The sequence below is a fragment of the Homo sapiens genome, chromosome 1, assembly GCF_000001405.40.
Source record: "Homo sapiens chromosome 1, GRCh38.p14 Primary Assembly".
Classification (NCBI taxonomy): Eukaryota; Metazoa; Chordata; class Mammalia; order Primates; family Hominidae; genus Homo; species Homo sapiens.
Window position 1 is genome coordinate 32,046,694 of NC_000001.11, and position 20,517 is coordinate 32,067,210.

Here is a 20,517-nt window from a genome sequence, read left to right on the forward strand (position 1 = left end):
TTAGGATTAGGATGACACTGAGGAGAAAGGCCTAACTAGGTAAGCCCTACGCATATAGAACCTTTCACAGTGAAATTTGGCTTCTTGGAATTTCTTTTTCTTCCAAGCCTGCCTCTCAGCCTGTGAGAGATCTGGAAGCTTTAAGAGAGGGGCATATGTACTGAACAAGATTCTGGGCACCTGGCAAGTCCTACGTTTGATGTTGGTCACATGAATGGCTAGGAAATTTAGCGTGGGGAATCCCTGAATGCAGAGAATTTAGTCTCAACTCTTCCTAGGGTAGTCTGAAGAAGAAAAATGGATTAGAAGTTTGGGGAAACCTTTCATTTGGACTGTGAACTGTGCTTGGAAAGGCAGGTTCTGTTTGTGGACCTAGGCCTGCTGGTGTTCTGCCTGTTCTGGACATGTAGCTTCGCCCATTGATCCAAGTGTTTTCTGTAAAATTCTATCACTCACTACCTGTGAACTTTATTTATTTATTTTAAGGTGGAGTCTCACTCTGTTGCCCAGGCTGGAGTGCAGTGGTGTGATTTCAGCTTACTGCGACCTCCACCTCCCGGGTTCAAGCGATTCCCCTGCCTCAGCCTCCGGAGTAGCTGGGATTATAGGCACACACCACCACGCCTGGATAATTTTTGTATTTTTAGTAGAGATGTGGTTTCACCATGTTGGCCAGGCTAGTCTTGAACTCCTGGCTTCAAGTGATCCGCCCACCTCAGCCTCCCAAAGTGCTAGGATCACAGGCGTGAGCCACTGTACCCGGCCAGCCTGTGAACTTTTATTACAATTCTGTAAGCTTTAGAGACAGGCAAGATTGGGTATCTGTCCTGGCTCTGCTTCATGTGAGCCTTTGTCACCTTAGTCAGAAACAAAACCCTTTCAGTGCCTCATTTATCATCAAATGAAGTTGATGATAATACCTGACATTTATCACTGTATGCATCATAATATCCTAACAGAGTTAGTAAGTATCTCATTTGGTCCCTTTCTACCTTTGTTTCTGTTTTGAGGAAAAATTCACATAGCATAAAATTTACAATTTTAAAGTGTACAATGCAGTAGTTTTTAGTATATTTATACTGTGCAACCATTTCCACTATTTAATTCCAGAATATTTCCATCACTCTAAAAACAAATCTTATATCTGCTAATAGTCACTCCCAACTCCCTTCTCTCCCCAGCTGTTGGCAGCCACTACTCTTTCTGTGGGTTTGCCTATTCTGAACATTCCATATAAATGGAATCATATAATATATGCTTTTTGGAATTGGCTTCTTTGACTTTGCATAGTGTTTGGTTCATCCAGGTTATAGCATGTAACATAGTACTTCATACTAGTCATAGGAAACATTACTTCCAAAAGCAGCCCATTTCATTAGAGATGGCTCTAAGTATTTTATCTCTCATTTTGAATGAGACCTGTACCTCAGTAATTTAAACTGAATCTGCTTTGGACCTCTGAAGCAACATCCTTTCAGGTATTTGAAGATCATTTTCATTACTGTGTCTTTCCCTTCTCTAAAAATTTTCTTGGCTGCGCATGGCAGCTCATGCCTGTAATCCCAACACCTGGGGAGGCTGAGTTGGGAGGATCACTTGAGGCCAGGAGTTCAAGACAAGCCGGGACAACATAGCAGACTCTGTCTCTACAAAAAGTTAGCTGGGCATTAGCTGGGCATGATGGCTTGCACCTCTTATCCTAGCTACTCAGGAGGCAGGGGAAGGAGGATCACTTGAGTCGAGGAGTTCAAGGTTACAGTATGCTATGATCACAACACTGTACTCCAGCCCGGGTAGAAAGTTTTTAAAATACTATTGGTCCCAATAAAATACATTTGCTGCATGCCAGATGTGGCCTTTAGCTTACCAGTTTGCAGCCTGTGGTTAGCTTCTGTTAGTATAAATTAAAGGTCATGTTAGCATTTTTAAGTGATTCTTTTTGGACAGACATAACTGTCCTAGTGGCAAAGAAGTCTAGAGTTTTGGCGGAATTTTAAAATAACAACTTTATTGAGATATAATTCACATACCATACTGTTCTCTCACTTAAAGTGTATAATTCAGTGGTTTTTAGTATATACAGAGTTGTTCAGTCATCACTAGGGCCCATTTAAAATGTCTTTATCATTCCAAAAAGAAACCCCATGCCTTTTATCTGTCTTCCACCAATCTATTTATTCCCTCCAGCCGTAGGCTACTACTCTGCTTTCTGTCTCTAAAGATGACAAGGGTTTAGCCTCCAGAAGGCTAAGTCCAAGGGTTTAGCCAGTCACAGAAGACCACTTTCTGTATGATTTCATACAAATGAAATTATACAATAAGTGGTCTTCTGTGACTGGCTTCCTTTTTGTTTTTTTTTTGTTTTTTTGGTTTTTTTTTGAGACGGGGTGTTGCTCTGTCGCTCAGGTTGGAGTGCAGTGGTGCGATCTCAGCTCACTGCAACTGCAACCTCCGCCTCCCAGGTTCAAGCGATTCTCCTGCCTTCCTGAGTAGCTGGGATTATAGGCACGCGCCTCCATGCCTGGCTAATTTTTGTATTTTTGGTAGAGGTGGGGTTTCACCGTGTTGGCCAGGCTGGTCTCGAACTCGTGACTTCAGGTGATCCGCCTACCTTGGCCTTCCAAAGTTTGGGATTACAGACGTGAGCCATCACGCTCAGCTGACTGGCCTCCTTTCACTTCGGATGTTTTCAAGGTTCATCCATGTTGTAGCATGTATCCCTACTTTGTTCTTTTTTTTTTTTTTACTGTTAAATGCGATTTCACTGTATGCATATACTACGTTTCATTTATTCATTGATCCATTGACAGGCATTTGGATTATTTCTACTTTTTGGCTATTATGAATAATACTGCTTTGAATATTTGTATATAAGTTTTTGTGTGGACATGTTTTCAGTTTCTTGGGTATATACCTAGAAGAATTTCTGGGTTCTGGGTCATACGGTGACTCTGTTTATTTTTTTATTTTTTATTTTTTTTTTTTTGAGACAGAGTCTCACTCTGTCGCCCAGGCTGGAGTGCAGTGGCACGATCTCAGCTCACTGCAACCTCCGCCTCCTGGGTTCAAGTGATTCTCCTGCCTCAGCCTCCCAAGCAGCTGGGAATATAGGCACGTGCCACCACACCCGGCTAATTCTTTGTATTTTTAGTAGAGACGGGGTTTCACCGTGTTAGCCAGGATGGTCTCGATCTCCTGACCTCATGATCCACCTGCCTCAGCCTCCCAAAGTGCTGGGATTACAGGCATGAGCCACCACGCCCGGCCTGTTTAATTTTTTTAGGAACTGCCAAATTGTTTTCTGCAGAGAGCCTGTACCATTCCTACCAGCAACATATGAGGGTTCCAAATGCTCCATATCCTCACCAACATTTACTTTATTATAGCTATCTTTAGTGGGTGTGAAGTGGTACCTCACTGTGGTTTTGATTTGCATTTCCCTAATGACTAATGTCATTGAGCATATTTTCATGTGCTTGTTAGCCAATTATATATCTTCTGTGGAAAAATGTCTATCTAAATACTTTGCCCACTTTTAAATGGGATAATTTGTCTTTTTATTAGCGAGTTGTAAGTTCTTTATATATTCTGGACGCTAAACTCTTGTCAGATGTATGATTTGCAAATATTTTCTCCCATTCAGTGGGTTGTCCTTTTACTTTCTTTAAATCACCAAAATTTTCCATTTTGTTGAAGTCCAGTTTATCTGTTTTTTTCTTTTTTGTCATAGGTAATAAACTATTGTCTCATTCAAGGTCAGGATTGTACCTGTTTGTTTCTTTCTCAGTTTTTTAGTTTTAGTTCTTTTTGTTTGTTTGTTTGTTTGTTTGTTTTTTGGAGACAGAGTCTGACTCTGTCCCCCAGGCTGGAGTGCAGTGGTATGATCTCAGTTCACTGCAACCTCCAGCTCCCGGGTTCAAGCAGTTCTCATGCTTCACCCTCCCAAGTAGCTGGTACTACAGGTGCGTGCCATCATGCCTGGCTAATTTTTTTTATTTTTTAGTAGAGGCAAGGTTTCACCATGTTGGCCAGGCCAGGCTGGTCTTGAACCCCTGAGCTCAGGCAGTCCACCCACCTCGGCCTCCCAAAGTGCTAAGATTACAGGTGTAAGCCACCACACCCAGCTTTAATTCTTGCATTTAGGTCTATGATTCATTTTATGTTAACTTTTGTGTGTGTGGCCTGGGGTGGGGGTTCAAATTATTATTTTTTTTTGAGACAGAGTCTCACTCTGTCACCCAGGCTGGAGTGCAGTGGCTCAATCTCGGCTCATTGCAACCTCTGCCTCCCAGGTTCAAGTTCAAGCAGTTCTCCCTGCCTCAGCCTCCCAAGTAGCTGGGATTACAGGCGCCCACCACCATGCCCAGCTAATTTTTGTATTTTTAGTAGAGACGGGGTTTTGCCATGTTGGCCAGGCTGATCTCGAACTCCTGACCTCAGGTGATCCGCCCGCATCAGCCTCCCAAAGTGCTGGGATTACAGGCGTGAGCCACCGTGCTCGGCCCAAATTCATTCTTTTACATGTGGATATCCCATTGTCCCGGCACCATTTGTTGAAAAGACTATTCTTTCTTCATTGAATGGTCTTGTCGCCCTTATCAAAAATCAGTTAACCACAGATGTATGTAGGTGTACTGCCTTTTGAAGTAGTTATTACTTAAAAGTTATTGATACAATTTCTGGCAGTAGCTGTTCAATAATACATAATAGCTGATCAGATTATTTTTACATCACTGAGAGTTTGTAAGTGATAGAGCTAGGATTTGATCCCAAGAATGGGTGACTACAAAGCATGCTTTTATTTCTGTATTATACTGCAGGCTGCTAAAGTGGGAATGAGGCTGTTCTAGCTGCCATGCCTGGTCATAGGTGGTTTTCCAGAGGTTCAGAGGCAGCGCTCCAGCATGCCCTTCTCCCACCATCAACTTCCTCGCTTCCTAGCCCTCTCTTCCCCCACCACAGTTTCCATAGAGTCTCCAGGGTGGACACTTGGCAGTGACAGTTACTATTGAGGGAATACTCTGACCCTTCCTTACCTACGGATACAGGCTTAGGGTTTGTCCCACCTTTATACTCTCTTCCACCAAATCCCACCTCCTGTCCCAGGCTAAGAATGAAGTTAGAGATGCATTAACACCTGCTAGAACTTTGTGGCCACCAAAAATGTGGATTAGAGTGTGTTAGGCAACACATGGGCTCACTGTCTTCTTGATATGTTCCTGTACTTTGTATGACCCTACAGAGGCTGCTGTTTGCTGGCAGTACTACTAGTAAGTAGTCATTTTCATTTTTTTCCCTCATTTTATTCTCAGTCTATGCCATCCACTGATCTTGACCACATTTAAAAGAAGAAGAAAGTGAGATAGGGAAAATAGGCAGCTTTGTTTGGCTGAAAGAGAAGAGCTCAATTTGAATGCCTACTGTGTGTCCCTATTTTTATAGATTAGGCAACTGATACTAGAAGAGGTGAGGTAATTTACCATGGTTGCATAGCACATTAGGACAGGGTGCATATCAACATTTTTGTACAGCAAAGTCTATTCTCTGTGCTAAAAGCTTGCTGCTTCTGTAATTCCAAATTTCATTGACCCTAAGAGACTGCTTATTGTAAATTGTGTCTTTAAGTGCTGTAAAGAAAGAAAGGAAAGAAAGAAAAGAAAAAAAGAAAGAAAGAAAAAAAGCTGCCAATTAAACTGACATAGTGGTTTCTTTTTTTTTTTTTGAGACGGTGTCTCACTCTGTCGCCCGGGCTGGATTGCAGTGGGGCGATCTCTGCTCACTGCAAGCTCCACCTCCCAGGTTCATGCCATTCTCCTGCCTCAGCCTCCTGAGTAGCTGGGACTACAGGCGCCCGCCACCACACCCAACTAATTTTTTGTATTTTTAGTAGAGACGGGGTTTCACTGTGTTAGCCAGGATGGTCTCGATCTCCTGACCTCGTGATCCACCCGTCTCGGCCTCCCAAAGTGCTGGGATTACAAGTGTGAGCCACTGCGCCCAGCCGAGTGGTTTCTTTTCACATCAAGTACAAGATGCATCCTGAAAAAAAAGTCATGTTATTACCGCATTTTGTGAATTCAGACATGCATTGACTATTTACTCTGTGCCATGTAGTTTTCTCCACCAGTGAGGTAGATGTTATTATCCCATTTTTACACATGATGAAACTGAGACCAGAAAATTTTAAACAGGCCAGGCCTGGTGGTTCACCCCGTAACCCCAAGGCAGGAGTATCGCTAGAGTCCAGGAGTTCGGGACTAGCCTGGGCAACATAGTGAGACTCCCATCTCTACAAAAAAAATAAAAATAAAAAGCTAGATGTGGTGGTGCACGCCTGTAGTCCCAGCTACTTGAAAGGCTGAGTCAGGAAGATCTCTTGAGCCCAGGAGGTCAAGGCTGCAGTGAGTCATGATCATGACACTATACTCCAGCTTGGGTGACAGCAAGACTCTGTCTCAAAAAATAATATACCTATAAAATAATAAATTAAAAAATAGTTGCAATAGTGTATCATCATGTTCTCTTGCAGAACTGAATACCAGGGAGCCTGGAGGAGCTGCCTGAGAAAGGCTTAGGGAGTGCCAGAGAAAGGTGATAGCATTTAAGTTACAATTTAAAGGATAATCAAAATTTGCCAGGCAGACAAATGGATAGCTTAGCATAATAACACTTTATTATAGCTTTAAGCAGACTAATTAAATTAATTAATTAATTACAGATGGGGTCTTGCTTTGCCACCCAGGCTGGAGTGCGGTGGTGTGATCATAGCTCGCTGCAGCCTTGAACTCCTGGTCTCAAGCTGTCCTCCTGCCTCAGCCTCCCAAGTAGCTAGGACTACAGGCATGGGCCACCATGCCCACTTGACTTTATTTTTTATAGAAACAAGTCTCTATGTTGCCCAAGCCGGACTCAAACTCCTGGCCACAAGCACCTTCCCAGAGTGGTAAGGATTACAGGTATGAGCCACCATACCCTGTGTAAGCAGACTACTTTCAAATTCTGCCTTAGTTTCAAGTCTCAATTTCATCATTTGTAAAATGGGGATAATATCATTTACTTCGACACTTGGGAAGATCAAGTGAGCTAATGCATATAAAACATTCACCAGGCCGGGTGCAGTGGCTCACACGTGTAATCCTAGCACTTTGGGAGGCCGAGGTGGGCGGATCACTTGAAGTCAGGAGTTCGAGACCAGCCTGACCAACATGGAGAAACCCCGTCTCTACTAAAAATACAAAAAATTAGCTGGGCGTGGTGGCGCATGCCTGTAATCCTGGCTACTCGGGAGGCTGAGGCAGGAGAATCGCTTGTACCCAGGAGGTGGAGGTTGCAGTGAGCCAAGATAGCGCCATTGCACACAACAAAAGCAAAACTGCATCTCAAAAAAAAACATTTAACATGACACACAGTAAGCACTCAAATATTAGCTATAAATAGAGATTGGAAGAATAAGTTAGTGCTGATTTTGGAAGCTACATATTAATCAAGGGGTTTGGACTTTATTCTAAAGTTTGAGCTATTTAATGCCTTAAGCATGAGAGTGACTTACATCACATCTGTTTACCAGTGTACCGGCAAGGTAGGGAAAATAAGGGAAGGAAGCCTTCTATAAAGTGGCACTACTCCTTTGTGGGAGAGTGAAGGGGATATTCTCCCCTTCTTGTCCTCCCGCCTTCCCTCCTGCCTGAAGGCCTTTAATTCCTGCCTTTTTCAGAAAGGAGACTCATCTCTCCTGTCTGGTACTTGAGTCGTTTGAGGATGAGATGTCTGGACTTACCTATGTTAAGGGAATCTCCTTGTGTCGTATTCCTTTCGCCCACCCTGCAAAATGGAAACCAAAACTCTTGACTGTCCACTAAAAGAAACTTCGCTCTTAACGGATTGTTAAGCAAGGCTTTGCTCACCACTAGAAGTCCTCAATGGATGAGGTCCCTGCCTCCATTTTAAGCTCTTAATTATGTTCTAATTCTGTGCTGAGAGTATCATATACAGCAAGCTTGTCCAGCCTATGGCCCGGGACGGCTTTGAATGTAGCCTAACGCAAATTCATAAACTTTCTTAAAACATTATGAGATTTTTCTGCAATTTTTTTTTAAGCTCATCGGCTGTCGTTAGTGTATTTTATGTGTGCCCCAAGGCAGTTATTCCAGTGTGGCCTAGGGAAGCCAAAAGATTGGACACCCTAGAATTATACAGTATCTCATTTAATTCTCACAAACAACCCTGTGAAGCAATGATTATCCATGGTATACAGAGTGAGAAATGTATGTCTAGAAGTTAGGATAACCACAGAGTCCAAGAGATGGAGTTTAGACTGAAGTCTTTATGTTCCTCCTTAGCTGCCTGCTGGTCTTCTCTGTACCTAGGGTGGCCGCATGATCAGCTTACACCAAAGTAGTTCCTGGCTTTGGTGTATAGGACTGGTACTCCTAGCTTGGTTTCCAGATTCCTGAAGTTTAAAAACTTGGATCCTGGGCCGGGTGCGGTGGGTCACGCCGGTAATCCCAGCACTTTGGGAAGCCAAGGCGGGCGGATCATGAGGTCAGGAGTTTGAGACCAGCCTGGCCAACATGGTGAAACCCCACCTCTACTAAAAATACAAAAATTAGCCGGACGTGGTGGCGCGCATCTGTAATCCCAGCTACTTGGGAGGCTGAGGCAGGGGAATTGCTTGAACCTGGGAGGCGGAGGTTGCAGTGAGCCATGATCGCACCATTGCACTCCAGCCTGGGCGACAAGAATAAGACTCCGTCTCCAAAAAAAGAAGAGTTGGATCCTTATGAGCCCTCCCCTCTTCTCTTGAGACCCACATGTACCTCCTGCTCCCCAGATTAATAGTCGTTGCATGTTTAAAGCTAGCAAGCATCTGATGAATATTTAATAGCATTGAGCAGACAGGCTGGAAACAGCTGTCTGAGACAGCAGCTGCTTAGTGGGAGAGGAGGAAGTGCACAACACTGCCTTAACTACCCGTTCTTTTGTTTCCTGGCCTAGAAAATAGGTCTGGCTCTTCAAGGCCCCTTAGGAGCACAAGCCTATGGGGGCACTGCACCCTAGTCCTATTGTAGCCTGATTGCTGCTCTCGGCTCCTAAGGAGGCTGCATTCAAGCAGGAGACTCAACCCTTTTTGGGAAGTAATGGGGAAGAATGTTCACGGACCTCTAGAATCCATTTTCCAGTCCCAGGACTGGAGGTCTTCCACTCTATTGTCTATTCTGGCTCTGAAGCTGAGGATGCAGTCTCATCTAGTGTTCTGCAAACTGTAGCACTCTCTGTTTTTTTGTTTGTTTCGAATGTACTTTCTGCTTTCGTATACAGCTCTCTTCTAAAAGGAGAGAGACATGTATCTGGAAGGGATGTGAATTTCATAGCCGTGCTGCTAAGGTTTAGCTTCTTAGCATTCCTTGATCACAGATTCACTAGCCTCTCACCAGTGACTGTACCTCTCATTCCTAGCCGGTACTGTGGTGATTGTCTTTGCATCTCAGGCAGGGAATGGGCCGATAGGAGTTCTCATGTACACAAGCTAACCCCATCCTTAGACCTTGGGGAGCTTCTTGCTTCAAGGAGGCCTTGTCACTTTCAGGGCAAATTGGGGGTGGGGGCGGGGGTTGTCCAGGGACTCCTTAAAAAAGACAGCTTAGTTGAGATGTTTCTAGATAGAGTGTGAGGCACAGCCAGTCTATCAGCCCAGATTAATCAGCTAAATAGGGCACCTTGCCAGAAATTTGGGTACTATTTCTGATCTTAATATTGCATTAAGATGCCTGAATTGGCTGTTCCCCTGTCAACCTCTGGTGCCCACCTCAGGGTATCCAGTCTCTTTCTTCTAGGCACTGTGATGTGTGTGAAAACTTGAGATAGAAGAGTTTGGGTTCAGATACAGAGCTAATTATTCCCAGGGGTCTTCTAACTCCAGCAGCCTTCATGGTTCCTATTCATGGCCTAGCTTTAGGTATAAGATGGTTGCTCCTCAGGTCTCAGGCTCTCTGGGGTTGGAATGTAGCAAACAAATTCTGCATCTGCCTTTGAGAAAGAGAAATATCTTATGCTCTGATGTGATTCTTTCTAAGCTTCTCTCTAGAAATCAGTACAAATGTCTCCTTTCATTATTTTTAAAAATACATTCACTATTATACATTAGAACACCTACTATGTGCTAGACACTGGGGATCCAGTGGCCGGTGAACAATATAAAATGGTCCTTGGCTTCATGGAGCTTATAGTCTATTTGTGGAAACAGATACTAAACAGATAATCTCATAAATAACATAATTTCAATTGTGTTAAGTTCTACAAAGAAAAGAACAGGGTGCAATGAGGGTATACAACCTAATACTGTGGTTTTCCTTGAGGAAATGATGTTTAAGCCAACATATAAAGGAGGACTTAGCTAGGCAGAGGGCTTGGGGAAAGGACATAGAGCAGCACATTATAGGCAGAGGATAGGACTGAAGCAAGTTGAAGCCGAGGTACGAATCTGGACCTTTTTTATTTTTATTTTTGAGACAGGGTCTTGTTCTGTCATCCAAGCTGGAGCACTTATCAATATGATGGCTCATTACACCCTCAAGTGATCCAGGCTCAAGTGATCCTCCACCTCAGCCTCCCAAGTAACTGGGACTATAGGCAGGTGGCTAATTTTTTCTATTTTTTGTAGAGACAAGATCTCAATCTGTTGCCCAGGCTGGTTTCCAACTCCTAGGCAAAATTGGTCCTCCTATGTTAACCTCCCAAAGTGTTGGGATTTATGGGTGTTAGCCACCACACCTAGCTGGACCTTCTTCTTTTCTTTTTTTTTTTTTTTTTTAAAGAGATGAGGTCAGCCGGGCGTGGTGGCTTAACGCCTGTAACCCCAGCACTTTGGGAGGCTGAGGCGGGCGGATCACGAGGTCAGGAGTTCGAGACCATCCTGGCTAACACAGTGAAACCCGTCTCTACTAAAAATACAAAAAATTAGCTGGGCATGGTGGCGGGTGCCTGTAGTCCCAGCTACTCGGGAGGCTGAGGCAGGAGAATGGCGTGAACCCGGGAGGCAGAGCTTGCAGTGAGCTGAGATCGCGCCACTGCACTCCAGCCTGGGCGACAGAGCGAGACTCCATCTCAAAAAAAAAAAAGAGAGAGAGAGATGGGGTCTCAGGGGCCGGGTGCGGTGGCTCACACCTGTAATCCCAGCACTTTGGGAGGCCGAGGCGGGCAGATCACCTGAGGTCAGGAGTTCAAGACCAGCCTGGCCAACATGGTGAAACCCCACCTGTACCAAAAAAACAAAAAATTAGCTGAGTGTGGTGGCGGGCGCCTGTAATCCCAGCTACTTAGGAGGCTGAGGCAGGAAGATTGCTTGAACCCAGGAGGCGGAGGTAGGAGTGAGCCGAGATCGCACCACCGTACTCCAGACTGGGCAATAAGAGTGAAACTGTCTCAAAAAAAAAAAAACAGATGGGGTCTCACTGCATTGATCATAGCTCACTGCAGCTTCTACCTCCTGGGCTCAAGACATCCTCTCACCTCAGCCTCCAGAGTAGCTGGGACTGTAGGCATGGGCCACTGCACCCAGCTTATTTTTTTATTTTTTGTAGAGACAAGGTATTACTATGTTGCCCAGGATGGAGAACTTCTGGCCTCAAGCAATCTGGCCTCAAGCAATCCTCCCATCTCGGCATCCCAAAGTGCTACGATTACAGGTGTGAGCCACTGCACCTGGCTGACCTTAAAAAAGCAAAGTTTATCATAGAGTTTTGGTTTCCAATTCACAGGGTGGTTGAAAGGAATAGAATATGAGGAGAGTCCCTTAACACATGGCAGTCCTAACATCCCACTGAAGACAACTTGAATGGGAGGAGGGGGGGTGTGGAAAATGAAATTATTCAATGTCTGATTTTTAAACTTGCTGATGAGTGGAGAATGGTTATGGGGCCCTGTTAAGAAACTTGCTAGTCTAGGCAAGAAATAAGAAAGGTCTAGCCGAGCATGGTAGCACATGCCTGTAATCCCAGCTGCTCGGGAGGTGGAGGCAGGAGGATCGCTTGAGCCAAGGAAGCAGAGGTTGTAGTGAATTGAGATCGTGCCACTGCACTGCAGCCTGAGTAACAGAGTGAGACTGTCTCAACAACAACAAAAAAGGTCTATAGTAGAGTAATATTGCAAACATAGAGAAGTCAATGAATTCAAGAACTTTTGTCAGGCACAGTGGCTCATGCCTGTAATAATCCTAGCGCTTTGGGAGACCGAGGTGGGCGGATCACCTGAGGTCAGGAGTTTGAGACCAGCCTGGCCATCATGGTGAAACCCCATCTCTACTAAAAATACAAAAATTAGCTGGGCATGGTGGTGCGTGCCTGTAATCCCGGCTACTTGGGAGCCTGAGGGAGGAGAATCACTGGAACCCAGAAGGCAGAGGCTGCAGTACTGGAGCTAAGATTATGCCCCTGCACTCCAGCCTGAGTGACAGAGCGAGACTCTGTCTCAGGAGAAAAAAAAAAAAAAAAAAACAAAACCTTTTAGGCGATAGAATGAACATATTAAGGCTCCAGGTTACTGACTGGAACAACTAAGGGAGATGGTAGCGCCATTTAAAAGATCGGAAGCACTGGCCAGGCATGGTGGCTCACACCTATAATCCCAGCACTCTGGCAAGCCATTAAGAGGATCCCAGGAGTTTGAGACCAGTCTGAGCAACATATGGAGACAAAAATTTAAAAATTAGCCAGGGATGTTGGTGTGTGTCTGTGATCGTATATGGAGGCTGAGGTTGGAGGATCACTTTAGCCCAGGAGATCAAGGCTGAAGTGAGCCATGATGTTGCCACTGTACTCCAGTCTGAGTGACAAAGCAAGACTCTTTCTTTAAAAAAAAAAAAAAGAAGAAGAAGAAGAAGGAGCATTGCTATAGGTTTTAGCATGAGATCAAGCCCCTTCCCTGTGCCGCAGATTTAAGATGCGTCTCCTCTAGTCCACCCTGAGTATTTGGTGCTGGGATGAATCCTTCATAACATCCATCGCCCCTTGAGCCTAACATTGAGTTACCAATAATAGTGATAATAAGATGCCTATTTTCTGATTTCCATTCTTCAAAAGACTTTAAAGATTTTTGTTCATCTTTTTCACATTTCTAGGACAGCAGAAAGCATTTTTCCCTTTGTTTATAGAGGCTTCAAAGCTTGGATAGGCCCCCCAAAGGTTTTGTTGATTCTTCCCTGGATCCACTCAGCTGAGATATGGCCAAGGACAGGAGATATTGAGCGTGAGACTGCATTTTCATTACCAGACAGACAGTAAAAAGAGAATTCATAGGCTGTGGACTTCTGTTTTCTACCCATCTGTGTACCCAAGAAACTTGTGTACTGAATGAAACAAGTAGAGTTGTGCTGTGGGATGGGGCAATTGTGAGGGAAGCATCCTGGTCAGGTGGGAGGCTGGGAAGCCCCCTAATAGGGAGCTTTCTTAATTTTCTACCTTGTGTCTTTGCAGCTATCAGAGGACTCCTGAAACCTGGAGAGCTACCTGCTGTATAAAGGCTGGCCTGAGGGCATTTGCTGAACACAGAGAAACCCAGGAGAGGAGATCAGCAGTTTTCTTTCACTCTACTTGATCTGTCAGATTTACCCACAGAAAGCCAGTCAGGATCCCTTAAGAGTCTTTAGGCCCAGAATGGAGTCCTCAGGGCTGCAGGGGACTGTGGTGCTAACAATTAAACTGTTCAAGACTTTAAAGAGTTGAAGGGGACTAATGGGTATCCCTAGCATGGCCTCCTAGATGGGAATTAACTGGCAACTCCTACTGTGCCATTCCCAGTATGTGTGCTTCCCTTTAGCCTCCCATAGAATTGGCTGAAACACCCTACCACCGTTTTCTGTTTCCCCACTACCACACCTGTGTTATGGGTGTCAGCCTGTGAGTCCTTGAACCCTTCCAGAGGGCTCCCAAGGGAGGGTGATCACTGCCCTTCCATAAAAGGCTGAGGAAAGCCAAGTGAGAAGATTCAATTAATTTGGGCAAGTTATTTAACATCTGAACCTGTTTTTCTCTTCATTGTTTATTACTTACCTTGTCCAAAAAGGTCATAAAGGGTAGGGCTTTTTCTGTTCCACCTCTGTACTATATTTCTCCCCAACAAATATCTGCCCCTGAGGACCTCAATAAAGGTTTGGTCAAGTGATGAATGGTCCCACTCTGGTAGCTTCTATCAGCTTTGGGAGAGAGCCAAAGCCCCCTTGTTTAGCTCTCACTTTCCTTCCAGCTATACTAGGCCAGCTATTTGTTCTGCCATTTTCCCTTGAAGGATTGGAAAGTCAGCCTTTGATAGGCTTCTGGTTTCCTCTGGCCTATTTCTAGGTTGATTTATACTCAGCTTCCTGAGAGGCTAGGGACCTCTGATACTGTACTCTTCCCTAATGCCTTCTGGTTATTTATCCTAACAAAGGAACAAGGGGAAGGACTGAGTTTAGGGAGAGAATAGAGCCTATCTGCATTTTAACTGTGCCTGGGGCATTCTAGTGAGCTTGGATTCATCCTTAGCAGGAACAGAAGTATAATGGAAAGGGATTCCTTAAAGTCAGTTGATTTACACTGGGCAAGCTATTTAATCTCTGAGCCTGTTTCTGTCATCATTGTTGATTACTGTAAATAACAGCTAATAATTTACTGATTTCTTAGTATGTACCAGGAAAATAAGAAAAACTGAGACTCAAGGAGGATAAAAAATTTGCCTATGGTTAGAAAAAGACTTCATGGTCTATACTATCAGACTTCATGGCCTATTCTTTTGACCTGTTTGTACCTCTCACAGCCACAAGTGCTTTGAAATATTAAAGCATTATGTTTGCATGAGGGGTTCGTCTAGGATGACAGATCATCTAGGTTTACCCAAGAGAGAGTTTCTGGGATATGGGACTATCCAGTGCTAAAACTAGAAAAGTCACAGGCCAGCCTCGATGAGTTTGTCACCCTGTTGTTTACATTGGATGCTCTGAGTCCAGGGCTGACAAGGGAGGAGTTTGGGGTGGGGAATTAGGGAATCAGATGGCATCTTCATCATATATAAATGGAGGCACAGAACCTGAGTCACTGACTGAGGAGCTGGTGTTAGGTTCCTAGATCGCTATACCTTCAGTCTGCTAGGATTTCTACTCGGGAGCCACAGAATTTTATAGGAAAGCTTACAGGGCTGAAGCCAAACAGATCTGAATTCAAATCCCAGCTCATCATTTGCATATTTCCAGAGCTTGTTTTAATTTTTTTTTTTTTTTTTTTTTTTTTTTTTGCTTTAAGAAGAGCTGTAGGGCCTGTTTACTCCATCAAAGTAGGATAAGAATTGCTACCTACTGGCCAGGTGCGGTGGCTCACGCCTGTAATCCTAGCACTTTGGGAGGCCGAGGTGGGCAGATCACGAGGTCAGGAGATCGAGACCATCCTGGCTAACATGGTGAAACCGCATCTCTACTAAAAATACAAAAAATTAGCCGGGCGTGGTGGTGGGCGCCCCTAGTCCCAGCTACTCAGGAGGCCGAGGCAGGAGAATGGTGTGAACCCAGGAGGCGGAGCTTGCAGTGAGCCGAGATCGCGCCATTGCACTCCAGCCTGGACCACAGAGCAAGACTCCATCTCAAAAAAAAAAAAAAAGAATTGCTACGTACTGAATGGGATCTGAGAAGCAAATGATGTGTTTGAAATGCCTGGCATGGGGTCTAGACACAATACTGCTCAACCTTTAAGTTTCCTTCCTCCTTTTTTCCCAGGCTTGTGGGTCTTATCCAGTCCTGTCACCTGTCACAGTCTTCGTCCTCCTCCTGTTACCACTTATGGCCCTTGGGATCTTCCTTTGAGAGCCCTGACTTGTTGGGCTTGGCCCACCCACCCAGCTGCCCTGTATGTCAGTCACCTCCCCTGTAAGCTGAGAAGGGATGACATCAGCCTTTCCCTCTTCCCCCCTCCCAAGCCTCTAGGCTGTTTTGAGCCATAAATATTTTAGCTGGGCCTTTCTCTGGCTGTTGCCAAGGTGATGGGCTCTCAGGGGACTGGGGTGGGAGTGTGGAGGTAGGGCTGGCAGCCTGGGGCCTGGCAGCAGAGCTGGCCCTGGAGGAGTGGGTATGAGGCCTGGCCAAGAGCCAATGCTTGCAGCTTGACAAGCAGGCTGTTGCTCTACCTGCTTGCCTTCCCTTTCCTCAGCCCCTCAGAGCCACTCCTATTGCCTACAGGCCCACTTCTGCCCTTGGCTGCTGCTCTTCGACCTCAGGTAAATTGTTCAATGTCCCTAGGCTTTCATTTTAACATTCGTAACAAAAATCCAAGAAAGCAAAGGAGGTTTTGTAAAAATGCTGTAAGATGCCAGGCTAGTGAATCATGATTGGAGAAGCTAGGTCCCACTGCCCTTTCTGATAGACCTAAAGGCTGAGGTCTTGATGCCATGTGGATGTCACCCTAAAGACAGCTCTTAGATATGCCACTCTCTCCCCTTCCTCCTTCCCCACGATGCACCCCCTGCTCTTTAGAAATTTTCTAAAGTTCCCGGGCCAGCTAGATGACCTGGCCTGCCATGGGGTAGCCCAGGAAGGAGTTGGGCCTGGTGGCTTATGAGCAGAGTTGAGAGTCTCTTTTGCTTGAGATACAGAAATTCAGGTCCCTAAACTAGATCTGGCCCTCATCCTTACCCACCTCACCTCTTTCCTGGTGACCTTACATCTGGCTAGCTGCTAAATTCTAGGTTGTGGCAGCATGCCCCACCCCCTCTCCTTGGGATGGGTCTAAGAAGGCCCATAGAGGAGGCACTGGGATCCATTCCCTACCCTACCATTGAGAATCGCTGCAGTTGTATCCAGGATTCCACATCTTATGCCCAGCTTAATTTCTCTGTTGTACTTGGAGTTGAGATTCCTTTGTATCAGGCTCTCTCTGGTGGTTAAGATGTGCATTACAGAAAAATAAGATAAATGAGAGACTGAATTTCAGGCCACCCTGAGAGGTGGGGATAGTTTACACTAAGGAAAAGAATCTGTGTCTCCAACTCCTAATAACATCTGCTCCATTTGTCACAGGATATCTCTCCCATGTGTTTGCTTCTCTCCATTAATCCTCACAACATAGTAATTTTCCTAATTGTACAGATGAAACAGGCTTAGAGAGTTGAAATCAAGTCCAAATTCTTTACTGTGTGTAACATTCAGGATCATCAAGTGATCTGAATTGAACCTATTTTTCCAACCTCATCTTCAGTTATTCTCAAGCCAAACTAGACTCACCCTTCTGGAACATAGCCTACTTTACAGTTCTCTCTATCTTAATTACCTTAAATACATTACCTGCCAAAATCTTATCTCTTTTTAAACTAAAGAAATGTGACATTTTCTGGGTTTTCTATAGTTTACATATATTTGTAATATAAGATGTGGGAAGACAAATGTCTGGATAAGAATGGGGGTAGGGGGATTGCCTGACAGGTGGGAGGTTGTGTGGGGAGACTAATGTATACATGGAGTGAGAATGGCCCAGGAAACTGGAAGAACATGAAGACACCTGGATTCTCTGGTATTGAAAATCAGATGTAAGTATTCTTGCTGGCAAGAGAAGGTGAAAGCAAATCCCTGGTGGGCTGGGACCGGGCTGCAGGTGACATTTTTTTCAAAGCCTTCAATCTTAAATTCACATTAGTTTGTTTTGTTTGTTTGAGATGGAGTTTTGCTCTTGTTGCCCAGGCTGGAGTGCAATGGGACGATCTCGGCTCACCACAGCCTCTGCCTCCCGGGTTCAAGCGATTCTCCTGCCTCAGCCTCCTGAGTAGCTGGGATTACAGGCATGTGCCAACATGCCCGGCTAATTTTGTATTTTTGGTAGAGACGGGGTTTCTCCATGTTGGTCAGGCTGTTCTCAAACTCCCGACCTCAGGTGATCCGCCCGCCTCAGCCTCCCAAAGTGCTGGGATTACAGGTGTGAACCACCGCGCCTGGCTTGTTTTTGTTTTTGACACAGGGTCTCGCTCTGTTTCCCAGGCTGGAGTGCAGTGGCACAATCTCAGCTCACTGTAACCTCCACTTCCCGGGTTCAAGTGATTCTCATGCCTCAGCCTCCTGAGTAGCTGGGATTACAGGTGCACAACACCACACCTGCCTAATTTTTGTGTTTTTAGTAGAGGTGGGATTTTGCCATGTTGGCCAGGCTGGTCTTGAAGTCCTGGCCTCAGGTGATCTGCCCATCTTGGCCTCCCAAAGTGCTGGGATTACAGGCGTGAGCCATCATGCCCAGCCCACATTAGTTTACTTTGTACTTTACAGTATATCCATGTTTTAATAAAAATAGCTAATGCTTCAATAGCACTGAATGTATGTCAGGTTCTAGTCTAAATACTTTACATAGATTCTCAAACCCATAAGGCTTGAGGAAACTGAGACCCAAAAAGGTTAAGTAACTTGCTAATGTCATACAGCCAGTAGGTGATGGGGCTAGGAAGTCTGGCTCCAGAGAACGTGTTCTTAATGACTGCGATTTGATGTTGAAAATTCTGCCTTACAGGCCGGGCGCGGTGGCTCACGCCTGTAATCTCAGCACTTTGGGAGGCCGAGGTGGGCAGATTACAAGGTGAGGAGATCGAGACCATCCTGGCTAACGTGGTGAAACCCCGTCTCTACTAAAAAATACAAAAAATTAGCCAGGCCCGGTGGCAGGCACCTGTAGTCCCAGCTACTCGGGAGGCTGAGGCAGGAGAATGGCGTGAACCCAGGAGGCGGAGCTTGCAATGAGGCGAGATTGCGCCACTGCACTCCAGCCTGGGCGACAGAGCGAGACTCCATCTCAAAAAAAAAAAAAGAAAAAGAAAATTCTGCCTTATATTTCCATTGAATAAAACTGACATTCCAGAAAGCTGCATTGTGTTTTATCCTGTGGATTCATCACTTCTGTGTACCACCAGAGGTCTGCATAGTCTGGTCTGAAAACTGCTGATTTAAGGCCAGGCGCAGTGGCTCATGCCTGTAATCCCAGCACTTTGGAAGGTCGAGGCGGGCGGATCACCTGAGGTTCAGGAATTCGAGACCAGCCTGGCCAACATGGCGAAACCCCAACTCTACTAAAAATATGGAAATTAGGCATGGTGGTGGGCGCCTGTAATTCCAGCTACTCAGGAGACTGAGACAGGAGAATCGCCTGAACCCGGAAGGCAGAGGTTGCAGTGAGCCGAGATCGTGCCATTGCACTCCAGCCTGGGCAACAAGAGCAAAAGTCCATCTCAAAAAAAAAAAAAAATGCTGATTTATAGGACAGATTTGGGCCAGGTGTGGTGGCTCCATTTTGTAAACCCAGTGATTTGGGAAGCCCAGGCAGGAGGATCATTTGGGCCCAGGAGTTGAAGACCAGCCTGGGTAACATAGTGAGACCCTGTCTCTACAAAAAAAAAAAAAAAAAAAAAAAAAATTTTTTTTCTTTTGAGATGGAGTCTTGCACTGTCGCCCAGGCTGGATGGAGTGCAATGGTGCAATCTTAGCTCGCTGAAACCTCCACCTCCCAGCTTCAGGCAATTCTCCTGCCTCAGCCTCCCAAGCAGCTGGGATACAGGTGCACACCGCCATGCCAGGCTAATTTTTTTTTTTTTTTGTACTTTTAGTAGAGACGGGGTTTCACTATGTTGGCCAGGCTGGTGTCGAACTTGTGATCTGCCCACCTCGGCCTCCCAAAGTGCTAGGATTACAGGCCTGAGCCACCGCGCCTGGCCAGTTTTTTTTTTTTTTAATTAGCCAGGCACAGTGGTGTGCACCTGTAGTCCTAACTACTCGGGAGGCTTACGTAGGAGGATAACTTGAGCCCAAGAGTTGGAGGCTGAAGTGAGCTATGATTGCACCACTACATTCTAGCCTGGGTGACAAAGTGAGGCTGTGTCTCTAAAAAACAGGACAGATTGCCAGCTTTTGGCCACAGTCCCAAAATAACATGACCAAAGAAGAGATCTCAGCTTCCAGTACCCAGTGACAGGACTGGCTTAGAGCCAGTGGCATTTCCTCAAAAACTTAAGACTCCTCGAAGGGCCAATAGATAGCAAGTTTATCAGGAAATGAAGGCTCAGGGAGGGGAAGTGAGGGTTTCAAAGTTACGAAACAGCTGAGACTTGTGGCCACAGGTCTGGAAGACAAGGTCCTAGCCAAAATCCTGCCGTCTTACTATTTTCTCCAGAGATTGGTAATGATCGTATGTGGGATATAAAAATATTTTTTACAAAAGAAAAGATAAATATTTTTTCCAGGGAAACTGTAAGAGGCAGATTTGAAAAGGACAAAAACCCTAGGTGTTTCAGGTAGATTCTATGATAGAATTGTAGATTCTAGATTATTTCAGTTGCAGTTGTCAAACAACAGGCACAAACTGGCTTTCTGCAACAGAAAAAAATCCATAAAAGCTTCAGGTATAGTTGGATCCAGGATTCAATTGATGCCATCAAGAAAGTGTCGGGCCAGGCATGGTGGCTTACGCCTGTAATCCCAGCACTTTGGGAGGCTGAGGCAGGCAGATTGTGAGGTCGGGAGTTCGAGACCAGCCT

General features: G+C 45.2%; 1 protein-coding gene across 2 annotated transcripts in view, besides 3 other annotated features; it reads left to right on the forward strand.

The window, feature by feature from the left end:
• The window catches only part of KHDRBS1 (KH RNA binding domain containing, signal transduction associated 1), a 46,983-nt gene extending 32,826 nt beyond the window's left edge, over positions 1 to 14,157 (forward strand). For both annotated transcript variants that reach the window (NR_073499.2, XR_007066502.1), the window contains one exon: positions 13,470 to 14,157. The gene's annotated coding sequence lies outside the window, so the exon portion shown is untranslated. The remainder of the gene's footprint in view (positions 1 to 13,469) is intronic.
• Positions 14,148 to 14,760: an enhancer, noted in NCBI's record as "NANOG hESC enhancer chr1:32526442-32527054 (GRCh37/hg19 assembly coordinates)". NCBI's record gives its function as "activates a minimal SCP1, AML or CMV promoter by ChIP-STARR-seq in naive H9 embryonic stem cells {active_cell/tissue: H9 hESC(naive)}" and the evidence as "EXISTENCE:reporter gene assay evidence [ECO:0000049][PMID:30033119]".
• Positions 15,775 to 16,069: an enhancer, noted in NCBI's record as "tiled region #15509; K562 Activating DNase unmatched - State 25:Art, and HepG2 Activating non-DNase unmatched - State 18:Pol2". NCBI's record gives its function as "activates a minimal TATA promoter and a strong SV40 promoter by Sharpr-MPRA in K562 cells, with weaker activity in HepG2 cells {active_cell/tissue: K562 | HepG2}" and the evidence as "EXISTENCE:reporter gene assay evidence [ECO:0000049][PMID:27701403]".
• Positions 16,715 to 17,009: a silencer, noted in NCBI's record as "tiled region #7843; HepG2 Repressive non-DNase unmatched - State 12:CtcfO". NCBI's record gives its function as "represses a minimal TATA promoter and a strong SV40 promoter by Sharpr-MPRA in HepG2 cells {active_cell/tissue: HepG2}" and the evidence as "EXISTENCE:reporter gene assay evidence [ECO:0000049][PMID:27701403]".